This window comes from Homo sapiens, chromosome X, assembly GCF_000001405.40.
Source record: "Homo sapiens chromosome X, GRCh38.p14 Primary Assembly".
In the NCBI taxonomy this organism is placed as follows: Eukaryota; Metazoa; Chordata; class Mammalia; order Primates; family Hominidae; genus Homo; species Homo sapiens.
Window position 1 is genome coordinate 86,583,665 of NC_000023.11, and position 12,459 is coordinate 86,596,123.

Sequence of the window (12,459 nt, forward strand, 5' to 3'; positions counted from 1 at the left end):
CCATACGGTTTTTCTTTTTTAGACTGTTAATGTGGTGAAATACATATATTAATTTTCAAATAAATAACCAGCCTTGCATCTCAGGAATAAACCCCACTTGGTCATAGTGTGTGTGTGAGTGTGTGTGTGTGTATGTATATATTTGTAGAACTGAATTCTGTTAATATTTCTTAAGAGTTTATGTTTCCATATTGTTGAGAGAGATTCATATGGAGTTTTCTCCTTTTTTACACTATCATTTTCTGGTTTGGTTATGAGAGTAATGCCTGCCTAGTAAAAAGAAATTGGAAGTGTTCTCTTCTCTTCTATTTCCTAGAAGAGATTATATAGAATTGGTGCTATCTCTTATTTAAATGTTGAATATTAATAGAATTCACCATTAGAATCACGTGGGCCCGGAGATTTGTTTTTTGAAAAGTTTTCAACTATGAATTCAATTTCTTTGTTTCAAATTTTTACTTAATTTCTTTTATTTAATTTGAACTTCTTTGAAGATTTTAGAAATAGGCTGTCTCTGTGCAATCTATATCAGTTTGGGTGACTTCTGGTGGTTTGCAGTTTTTAAGGAATTGTTCTTTTTTATTTGAATTTTCCAATTTATGGGCACAGATTTATTCGTTTTATTCTATTATTATTATCTTGAATTATTCTGGGTGTTTAAGATATTCCCTCTTTTATTTCTGATACCTTTGCCATTTTTCACTTTTTCGTGGTTTGATATTTTCCTGTTTTATTAATCATTTAATAAACAGCTTTTGCATTCATTGATTTTCTCTGTTGTTTTTATATGTTCTGCTTATTCTCTTAATATGATCCTTCATTCTGCTTTATTTAGGTTCATTTTTCTCTTCTTTTTGTAGATTCTTAAGGTGGCAGTTTAAATTGTTGATTCAAAATCACCTTTCTTTTATAATATAAGCACTTAATGCTATACTTTGGCTCTCAGCACTGCTTTAGTAGCATACCACATTTTTTGGGTCATTCATTAATTTTCTTAGTCATAATTTTTGCGAGTACATAACGGGTGTATAGTTTAAAATTTAATTTTAGATTCAGGGGATATTGAGTGACACTGGGGTGTGTTGTATGAATGATTCTATCATCCAGGTAGTGACTATAGTACAAAATAGGTAGCTTTTCAGCTTTTCAGTGTTCTAGTACACCCCGGTGTCTATTGTTCCCATCCTTATGTCCATAAGTGCCCAGTTTTTAGCTTTCATTATATATGAGAACATGCAATATTTGATTTTCCGTTACTGCATTAATTCATTTAGAAGGCCTCCACCTGAATCTATGTCATGGCAAAGAACATGATTTTATTCTTTTTTATGGCTGTGCAGTATTCCATGGTGTACAGGTACCAGATTTTCTTAATCCAACCCACTGTTGATGGGCACCTAGGCTGATGTCATGTCTTTGCTATTGTGAATAGTGCTGTGATCAACATACGCATGCATGTGTCTTTTTGGTAGAATAATTTATTTTCCTTTGGGTATATATGTTTACAGTAATGATACTGCTGGGTCCAATGATAGTTCTGTTATAAGATCTTTGAGAAATCTCCAAACTGCATACCACAGTGGCTGAACTAATTTACATTCTCACGATCATTGTAATGTTTCCTTTTTCCATAGCCTTTCCAGTATCTGTTATTTTTTGTGCTTTTAGTAATAGTTATTCTGATGGATGTGAAATGGTATCTCAATGTGGTTTAATTAATTAATTAATTATTATCATTTAACTTTTATTTTAGGTTCGGGGTACACATGCAGGTTTGTTAAACAGGCAAATTGCGTGTCATGGGGATTTTGTATATAGATTATTTCCTCACCCAGGTAATAAGCATAGTACCCTATAGGTATATTTTCTGATCTTTTCTGATCCTCTCCCTCCTCCAACCTTCCATCCTCAGGTAGGCCCTGGTGTCTATTGTTCCCTACTATGTGTCCATGTATGCTCATTGGTTAGCTCTCACTTATAAATGAGAATGTGTGGTGGTATTCAATTTTCTGTTCTTGCATTAGTTGCTTAGCATAATGGCCTGGGGTTTCATCCATGTTGCAGCAAAGGAAATGATCTTGTTCTTTTTTATGTCTGTTTAGTACTCCATGGTGTATATGTACCACACTTTCATTATTCAATTTGTCATTGATGGGAATTTAGGTTGATTGCATATCTTTGCTATTGTGAATAGTGCCGTAATGAATATGTGTGTGCATGTGTCTACATGGTAGAATGATTTATATTCCTTTGAGTATATACCCAATAGTGGAATTGCTAGGTCGAATGGTAATTCTGTTTTAAGTTCTTTGAAAAATTGATGTACTGCTTTCCACAGTGGTGAAACTATTTTAGATTCCCCCAACAATGTATAAGCATTCCCTTTACTCTACAACCTTGCTAGCATTTGTTATTTTTTTCATTTTTAATAATAGCCAGTCTTGCTGGTATGAGATGGTATCTCATTGTGGTTTTGATTTACATTTCTGTGATGATTAGTGATGCTGAGTATTTTTTCATATGCTTGTTGGCCACACCTATGTCTTCTTTTGAAAAATGTCTGTTCATTTCCTTTGCCCACTTTTTAATGGGGTTGTTTGTTTTTTACTTGCAAATTTGCTTAAGTTCCTTAATGATTCTGGATATTAGACCTTTGTTGGATGCATAGTTTGCAAATATTTTCCCCTATTCTTTGGGTTGTCTGTTTACTCCGTTGGTAGTTTCTTTTGCTATGGAAAAGCTCTCTAGTTTAATTAGGTTCCATTTGTCAGTTTTTGTTTTTATTGCAATTGCTTTTGCCATCTTCATCATGAAACCTTTGCCAGGTCCTATGTCCAGAAGAATATTGCCTAGGTTGTCTTTCAGGGTTTTTACATTTAAGTTTTTACATTTGGGTTTTACATTTAAGTCTTTAATCCATCTTCAGTTGATTTTTGTGTATGGTGAAGAAGAGGTCCAGTTTCAATCTTCTACATGTGACTAGACTGTTATCCTGGCACCATTTATTGAATAGGGAGTCCTTTCCCCATTGCTTGTTTTTGTTGGCTTTGTCTAATCAGATGGATGTATTATGCAGGCTTAGTCTGGACTATCTATTCTGTTCCAATGGTCTGTGTGACTGTTTTTGTATCATTACCATGCTGTTTTGGTTACTGTAGCCTTGTAGTACAGTTTGAAGGCAGTTAAAGTGATCCTTCAGCTTTGGTCCTTTTGGTTAGGGTTGCCTTGGCTATTAGGTATCTCTTCAATTCCATATAAATTTTAAAATAGTTCTTTAAGTTCTGTGAAGAATGTAATTGGTAGTTCAATAGGAGTAACACTGAATCTGTACATTGCTTTGGAATGGCCATTTTAACAATATTGATTCTTCCTATTCATGAGCATGGAATGCTTTTCTATTTGTTTGTGTCATCTCTGATTTCTTTGAGCAGTGTTTTGTAATTCTCATTGTAGAGATCTCTCACCTCTGTGGTTAGCTATATTCCAAAGCATTTTATTCTTTTCATGTCAGTTATGAATGGGATTGCGTTTTTGATTTGGCTCTGTTTGGATGTTATTGGTGTGTTGGGATAGTACTGATTTTTCTACATCGAATTTGTCTCCTGAAACTTTGCTGAAGTTATTTTTTCAGAACAAGAAGCTTTGGCGAAAAGACTATGGGGTCTTATAGATATAGCATCATGACATCTCCAAATAGAGATAGTTTGACTTCTTCTCTTGTTATTTGGATAACTTTTCTTTCTTTCTTCTGCCTGATTGCTCTGGCTAGGAATTCCAGTACTATGTTGAACACGGGTGGTTAGAGTGATCATCCTTGCCTTGTGTAGGTTTTCATGGGGAATACTTCCAACTTTTGCATATTCAGTATGATGTTGGATGTGGATTTGTCATCGATGGCTCTAATTTTGATGTATGTTTCTTCAATGCATAGTTTGTTGAGAGTTTTTAACATGAACCTGTGATGTTTATTAATGATAAGCATTTGTTCAAATGGTTGTTGGCTGCTTGTATGTCTTCCTTTGAAAAGTGTCTGTTTATGTCCTTTGCCCATTTATAAATGTGGTTGTTTATTCTCATTGATTTAAGTTTCAGATTAGGGATATTAAACCTTTATTGAATGCATAGTTTGCAAATATTTGCTTCTATTCTGTGCATTGGCTGTTTACTTTCTTTATAGTTTGTTTTGCTGTGCAAAAGCTTTCATTTAATTAGGTCCTACTTGTCAATTTTTGTTTTTCTTGAAATTGCTTTTGAGGATTTAGTCATAAATTCTTTGCCAATGGTGATATGCAGAATGGTATTTCCTAGGTTTTCTTCTAGGATTTTTATAGTTTGAGGTCTTAAATTTAAATCTTTAATTCATCATGAGTTAGGTTTTGTATATGGTAAAAGGTAGGGATCTAGTTTCATTCTTCTGAGTATGGATAGACAGTTATCCCAGCACCATTTATTAAATAGGTAGTCATTTTCCTGTTGTTTATTTTTGTTGACTTTGTTGAAAGTCAGATCATTGTAGGGGTGCAGCCTTTTTTCTAGGCAGTCTATTCTTTCCATTGGTCTCTGTGCTGTTTTTATGCCAGTACCATGCTGTTTCAATCATCATAGCCTTATAGTATAGATTGAATCTGATAACATGATGCCTTTGGCTTTTTTCCCCCTTAGGACTGCTTTGTATATTCAGGCTCCTATTGGGTTCAATATGAATTTTAGAATAGATTTTTCTAATTCTGCAAAAAGTGACATTGGTAGCTTTATAGGAAGAACATTAAATCTGTCGATTGCTTTTGGCAGTATGGCCATTTTAACGATATTAATTCTTCCAATCCATGAGCATGGAATATTTTCCATTTGTTTCTGTCATCTCTGATTTCTTTCAGCAGTTTTTAAACATTTTCTCCTCATAGAGAAATTTCATCTCCTTGGTTAGCTCTATTCCTAGGTATTCTATTGTTTGTGGTTATTGTGAATGGGACTGTGTTCTTGATTTGGCTCTCAGCTTGGAAGTTATTGGGGTGCAGAAATGCTACTGGGTTTTCTAAATGGATTTTGAATCCTAAACCTTTCCTGCAGTCATTTATCAGATCTAGGAGCCTTTTGGTGGAGTCTCTGGGGTTTCCTAGGTATTGAATTGTTTTGTCAGCAAAGAGTTATTTTGACTTCCTCTCTTCCTATTAGGATGATTTTATGTTTCTTTCTCTTGCATGATTGCCGTGGCTAGGACTTTCAGTACTATGTTGAGTAGGAGTGCTGAGAGCTTGCATCCTCATGTTGTTCCCCTTCTTAGAGGAAATGTTTACAGCTTTTACCCATTCAGCATGATGTTGGCTGTGGATTTGTCATAGATGCTTTTTATTATTTTAAGTTATGATTCTTCAATGCCTTGTTCGTTGAGAGTATTTATCATGAAGAGATGTTGGATTTTATTGAAAGTTTTTGTCTTTCTATTGAAGTGATCGTATGGTTTTTGTCTTTAATTATGCTTGTGTTCATTTGGATTTTCTCTTCTCATTCTTTGTTAATCTAACTATTGATCTATTGATCTTATTTATTGTTTTGAAGAACCAACTTTTGGTTTTTTGAATACAACTCTGTATGAATTTTTGGGTCTCGATTTTATTCAATTCTGCTCTGATTTTAGTTATTTCTTTTCTTCTGCTATATTTAGAGTTAGTTTTTTTCTAGCGAATGGAAAATATTACCTCACTCTATTTTTTAAAAAAATCATATTATTTATTTTTTAGATACATTTTAAGTTTATAGAAATGGAATGGAATGAATGGAAACTATAGTGACTTTTTATATGTCCCTCTTCATTTACACACTATTTTCCTTTTATTAAATTGTGTTAGTGTAGCGCATTTGGCATAAGTGTTGGACCAATAACGATACATTATTAAATAAAGTCTATAATTTATGTAAGAGTCCATTGTATGTGTTGTAGAGTTCTATAGTTTTCACAAATGTATAATATCATGTATTTATTATTATAATATTACAGAGAATAGTTTGACTTCACCTATTCACCTCTCTCTCACTTCCCCTGAATGCCTGATAACCACTGATCTTTGTCTTGTTTCTATAGTTTTGCCTTTTCTGGAGTGTTATCTATTGGAGTTTTACAGTATGTAGCATTTTAGCCTGCGTTCTTTCACTTAGCAATATGCACTTAAGGTCTCTCCATGTCTTTTCACATCTTATACCTCATTTCTTTTCATTGTTGAATAACATTCCATTTATTGGTTTTACCGCAGTATGTTTATACATTCACTTTTTTAAAGGTGGGAAATTGGTTAAGTGTTGGAGTATTGAAAGATCAAAGAGAGAACACTTAGGAAACACAGATAATAAATAACTAAAGCAAGCAGTTACCACCGCTAAGGCTGGGGGAACAAAGAGAAAGAGTTGGCTTGTAGAAATTTAGTCCCCATTATACTGGGACTCAGACCTCTGAGGAGGGATCACTGTCTCACCGCTGCTAGTACCTTGGAAGAGGCTCAGTGACACTGTTTAGGAATATAAGAAAGAAGCTGAAGATTGAAATTAACTGCGCTGCTAAGGTAAAGGGCCATTGCTGAGGCAATTTGAGAACAGGAAGCAAAGCAAAAAAGAGTATGTCAGTTCTTCCTCCCCCAGCCTTCCAGTCTCTTCTAGTACCTTTATGGAGGAAGAACTTTACAGGAAGCCTTCTTTTCAAAGGAACAATGAAATCTAATAAGTCCTGGCCCCATCATCACAAAGCAGAGCTCAGAGGAGTGGGTTTGTTACAGAGAGAATATTGTTTAGTAACTGGTACATTCACTTATTGAAGGACATCTTAGTTGCTTCCAAGTTTTAGTAATTATCAATGAAGCTGCTGTATATATTTTTATGGAGGTATATATGTGGCTATACATTTTCAGCTAATTTGGGTAACTACAAAGAAGCACAACTGCTTGATCATATGGCAAGAGTATGTCTAGTTTTGTATGAAACTAATAATTTGCTTTCCGATGTTTCTATCATTTTGCGTTCTCACTAGCTGTGAATATGAATTCTGGTTGCTGCACAAACTTGCCAGCATTTTGTGGTGTTTGTGTTTTGGATTTTAGCCATTCTAATAGGTATATAGATAAATAGGTATCTCGCAGTTTTATTTATTTATTTATTTTTAAATTTTATTATTATTATACTTTAAGTTTTAGGGTACATGTGCACAACGTGCAGGTTTGTTACATATGTATACATGTGCCATGTTGGTGTGCTGCACCCATTAACTCGTCATTTAGCATCAGGTATATCTCCTAATGCTATCCCTCCCCCTTCCCCCTTCCCCGCACCCTACAACAGTCCCCGGTGTGTGATGTTCCCCTTCCTGTGTCCATGTGTTCTCATTGTTCAATTCCCACCTATGAGTGAGAACATGTGGTATTTGGTTTTTTGTCCTTGTGATAGTTTGCTGAGAATGATGGTTTCCAGCTTCATCCATGTCCTTTGTAGGACATGTGAACTCGTCATTTTTTATGGCTGCATAGTATACCATGGTGTATATGTGCCACATTTTCTTAATCCAGTCTATCATTGTTGGATATTTGGGTTGGTTCCAAGTCTTTGCTATTGTGAATAGTGCCGCAATAAACATATGTGTGTATGTGTCTTTATAGCAGCACGATTTATAATCCTTTGGGTATACACCCAGTAATGGGATGGCTGGGTCAAATGGTATTTCCAGTTCTAGATCCCTGAGGAATCGCCACACTGACTTCCACAATGGTTGAACTAGTTTACAGTCCCACCAACATTACAATTTTTTAATAACATAGGATGTTGGGCATTTTTCATATGGTTATTTGTCATCTGTGTATCTTCTTTAATTAGGTGTCTACTCAGTTCTTTGGCTATTTTTTTTTTTTTTGAGAAGGAGTCTTGCTCTGTCACCCAGGCTGGAGTGCAGTTGCACAATTTCTGCTCACTGCAACCTCCGCCTCCTGGGTTCAAGCAATTCTTCTGCCTCAGCCTCCCGAGTAGCTGGGACTACAGGCGTGCAACTCTACACCTGGCTGATTTTTGTATTTTTAGTAGAGATGGAGTTTCACCATATTGGCCAGGCTGGTGTCGAACTCCTGACCTCATGATTCACCCGCCTCAGCCTCCCAAAGTGCTGGGATTATAGGCGTGAACCACCGCTCCCGGCTTCTTTGGCTAAATTTTTAATTTGATTGTTTATTTTCTTATTGTTGAGAGTTATATATTCTTTGTATATTTTAGAATAAACCCTATATCATATATGTGTTTTGTAAGATTCGTTTCTGGCCTGTGGCTTGTCTTTCCATTCTTGTAATAACCTTTTTGGCAGAGCAAAAGTTCTAAATTTCCAAAATTTTTAAAGTTCTAAACTATGATTTTTTTTTATTTTATCGATTGTGCTTATGGTGTTATATCTAAAAAGTCTTCATCAAACCCAAGGTATATTAGATTTTTTCCTATGTTATTTTCTAGGAGTTTTATAATTTTGTGTTTTATATTCAGGTCTAGAATCCATTCTTAATTAAATTGTTGTAAATGGTGTAAGATCTGTATCTAGATTCATTTTTCTTTTTGCATGTGGATATCCAGTATCATTTGTTAAAAAGATTATGATTTCTCCATGACTTGCCTTTGCAGTTTGTCAAAGTTGACTATATTTGTGTGGGTCTATTTCTGGGCTCTCTAGTCTGTTTCATTGATGTTTTTGTTTATTCTTTCACTGTTACCCACTATTACCACACTGTCTTGATTACTATAAATTTATAGTAAGTCTTGGAATAAGGTGGTATCAGTCCTCTGACTTTGCTTTTTTCTTTCAGTATTGTGGTGGCCATTCCAGATCTTTTGCATTTTCATATAAACGTTAGAATGAGTTTACCAATTTCACAAACTAATTTTCTGGGATTTTGATTGGGATTGTGTTGAATGTATACATCAAGTTATGTAGAACTGATATCTTAATTATATTAATTGCTTACATCCATGAATGTAGAATATGCTTGTATTTATTTAGGTCTACATGGATTTCTGTTATTAGAGTTTTGTAGTTTTTCTCCTATATTTCTTATAAATACTTTGTTAGATTTATATCTAGTTATTTCATTTTTGGTGCGGATGTAAAGGAAGGTTTGTTTTCAAGTTCAAATTTTAATTGTGCATTGCTGGTATAGAGGAAAGCAGTTGAGTTGGATATGTAACCATGTATCCTGCAAACTTGCTGTAATTGCTTATTAGTTCAAAGAGTTATTTTATTTGGGATCAGCTGTATACACAATCATGTCATCTACAAACAAAGCCAGTTTTATTTTCTTCTTTTCAATATGTATATCCTGTATTTTCTTTTCTTTTCCTATTATGTTGGCTTGGACTTTCAGTATGATGTTGATGATAAATGGTGAGAGGGGATATCCTTGATATTTTCTTGACCTTAGCAGAGAAACATTTAGTTTCTGACCATTAAGTATAATATAAAATTAGCTGTAGGATTTCTGTGGATGTTCTTTATCAAGTTGAATAGATTTTTCTCTATTTCTGTCTTGTTGAGAGTTTTTAAGGTGAATGAATGTTTTATTTTGTAAACTGGTTTTTCGCATCTATTAATTTTATCATATTATTTTTATTCTTTATTCTCTTGATATAACTGATTAATTGAATTTTGTATGTTAATCCAACCTTGCACACTTGAAGTAAACCCTATTTGATCATGATGTAATTCTTTCATATATATATTTTTTTATTTTATTTTATTTTATTTTATTTTATTTTATTTTATTTTTTGAGACAGTGTCTCACTCTGTCACCCAGGGTGGAGTGCAGTGGCAGGATTTTGGCTCACTGCAACCTCCACCTTCTGGGTTCAAGCGATTCTCCTGCCTCAGCCTCCCGAGTAGCTGGGATTACAGGCTCCCTAAATCATGCTTGGCTAAGTTTTGTACTTTTTGTAGAGATGGGGTTTCACCATGTTGACCAGGCTGATCTCGAACTCCTGACCTCAAGTCATCTGCCCGCCTCAGCCTCCCAAATTTCTGGGATTACAGGCATGAGTCACTGTGCCTGGACAATATATTGTTGAATTTTAGTGGCTGGCATTTTTGAGAACATTTTCATCTATGTTTTTCAGTAATATTGATCTGCAGTTTTAATTTCTTGTAATATTTTTATCTGTTTTTTTATTAGGGTATCACTGGCCTCATAGAATTAGTGAGGAAGTATTCCATTTGCTTATATTTTCTGGAAAAGATTATGGAGAACTGGTATAACTTCTTCCTTAAATGTTTGGTAGAATTCACCAGTACACCCATCGTAGCCTGGTTATTATTCTTTTAGAAAATTATTAATAATTGATTCAATTTCTTTAATAAATATGATCCTCATCAGATTGTTCATTTCTTCTTGTGTGAATTTTGGTAATTGACTCTTTCAAGGAATTGGTCTGCTTCACCTATGTTATCAAATTTGTGGGCCCACAGTTGTTTATAATATTCCTTTATTATTTTAAAATTGTTTTTAGGAACAGTAATGATAACTGTCTTCTCATTTTTTATATTAGTAATTTATGTGATACCTCTTTTGTTTTCTTAGTTATCTTGTTTAGAGGTTTACTGGTTTTATTGATTTTTTTCAGAGAATCAAGTTTTAGTTTCAGTGATTTCATGTTATCAATCACATTGATTTTTGCAGTAATTTTTACTATTACTTTTTTCTGCTTATTTTGTTTTAATATGATCTTCTTCTTTACAGTTTCCAAAGGCAGAAGCATGGATAACCTATTTTCTAATATATACATGCTGATCTACAAGTTTCTCTGTCAGCACTGCATCATTGCATCTAATAAATTTTGATAAGTTGTATTTTTATTTTCATTTCATTCAAAACACTTTTAATTTATCTTGAAACTTTTTTTTTCCATAAACGTGTTATGTAGAAATGTGCTGTTTAATCTCTACATATTGGGGTTTTCCAGGTATTTTTTGTTATTGATTTCTAGTTTAATGTCATCAGAGCCTGGGAGCATTTTATAGCTTAGATTCTGGTCAGTCTTGGTAAATAATCCATGTAAGTTTATAAAGAATGTGTATTTTGCTGTTATTGGATGAAAAATATATAAATATCAAGTAGAGCCAGTTGACTGATGGTCTTATTCAGTTTAATTCTGTCCTAAGATATTTTCTGTCGGCCAGGTCTGTGAATTACTGATAGATGGCTGCTGAAATGTACAACTATAACAATGGGTTCATTTTTTTACCCTTGAAATTTTATCAGTTTTGCCTCATGTATCTTGTGCTGTGTTGTTAGGCACATTCACCTTCAGAATTGTTATGTTTTCATAGCAAATTGACTCCTTTATCATTTTTTAATTCCCTTCTTTATCTCTGTAAATTTTTTGGTTCTGAAAGTTTCATTTATCTGAAATTGATATAGCTACTCCAGCTTGTTTTCTTCTTCAATTATATATTTTTTAATTTTTAGAGTCAGGATCTCACTCTGTTATCCCAGCTGCAGTGCAGTGGCATGATCATAGCTCACTGCAACCTCAATATTTTTTGGCTCAAGCGATCCTCCCAAATAGCTTGGACTACAGTTGTGCATCATCCTGTCTGGATAATTTTAGTTTTTAAAATTTTTTGTGGAGACTGAGTCTTGCTATTTTGCTCAAGCTGTTCTCAAACTTTTGGCCTCAAGTGATCCTCCCACCTCAGGATCTCAAAGTGCTGAGATGATAGGAGTGAGCCACCATGCCTGGCTAAGCTACTTCAGCTTTCTTTAGATTAGTGCTAGCATGATATATAATTCTCTACCTTTTTACTTTTAATCTATTTCTGTCTTTAAGTTTAAAGTTGATTTCTTGTAAAAAAGCAAGAGTTGGGCAGTCTTTTCTTAAATCCACTGTGACAGTGTCTGTCTTTTTATTTGGGTATTTAAGTCATTGACTTTTAAAGTGATTATTGATATAGTTGGTTAATATCTTCCATGTTTGTAACTATTTTTATTCATTGCCCTTTGTCTTTCTTTCTATATGTGTTTCCTATTCCTTTTCTGCATTTTCTGGTTGTAATTGAGCTATAGTTATATATATAGTTTTACATATATATAGTTATATATAGTTTTATATATATATAGTTTTACATATATTCAATTTACAAAGTTACAGTATTGTACAACTCTCACTAATATGTAGTTTCAGAACTTTTTCAAGACCTGAAAGTGAAACCCCATACTCATTAAAGTTATTTGCTATTACTCCCTAGTCCCTGCCTGTTGTTACCACCAATCTGCTTTCTGTCTCTAAATTCTGGATATTTATCTATTCTGAATATTTCATTTCATGTAAATGTATTCATACAATATATGGCCTTCTGTACTTGGCATCTTTCATATAACATAATGTTTTCAAGTCTCATCCATGTTGCAGCAAGTATTAGTTCCCATTCTTTTCTATGGCTGAATAATATTCCG

At 33.8% G+C, this 12,459-nt stretch overlaps 1 protein-coding gene across 8 annotated transcripts in view, besides 1 other annotated feature; it reads left to right on the forward strand.

The window, feature by feature from the left end:
• The window catches only part of DACH2 (dachshund family transcription factor 2), a 684,152-nt gene that overhangs the window by 435,214 nt on the left and 236,479 nt on the right, over positions 1-12,459 (forward strand). The window lies entirely within an intron of this gene.
• Positions 7,871-8,144: a silencer, noted in NCBI's record as "fragment chrX:85846538-85846811 (GRCh37/hg19 assembly coordinates)". NCBI's record gives its function as "represses an EF-1alpha promoter that drives an FKBP-Casp9 reporter gene in an ReSE screen in HepG2 liver carcinoma cells {active_cell/tissue: HepG2}" and the evidence as "EXISTENCE:reporter gene assay evidence [ECO:0000049][PMID:32094911]".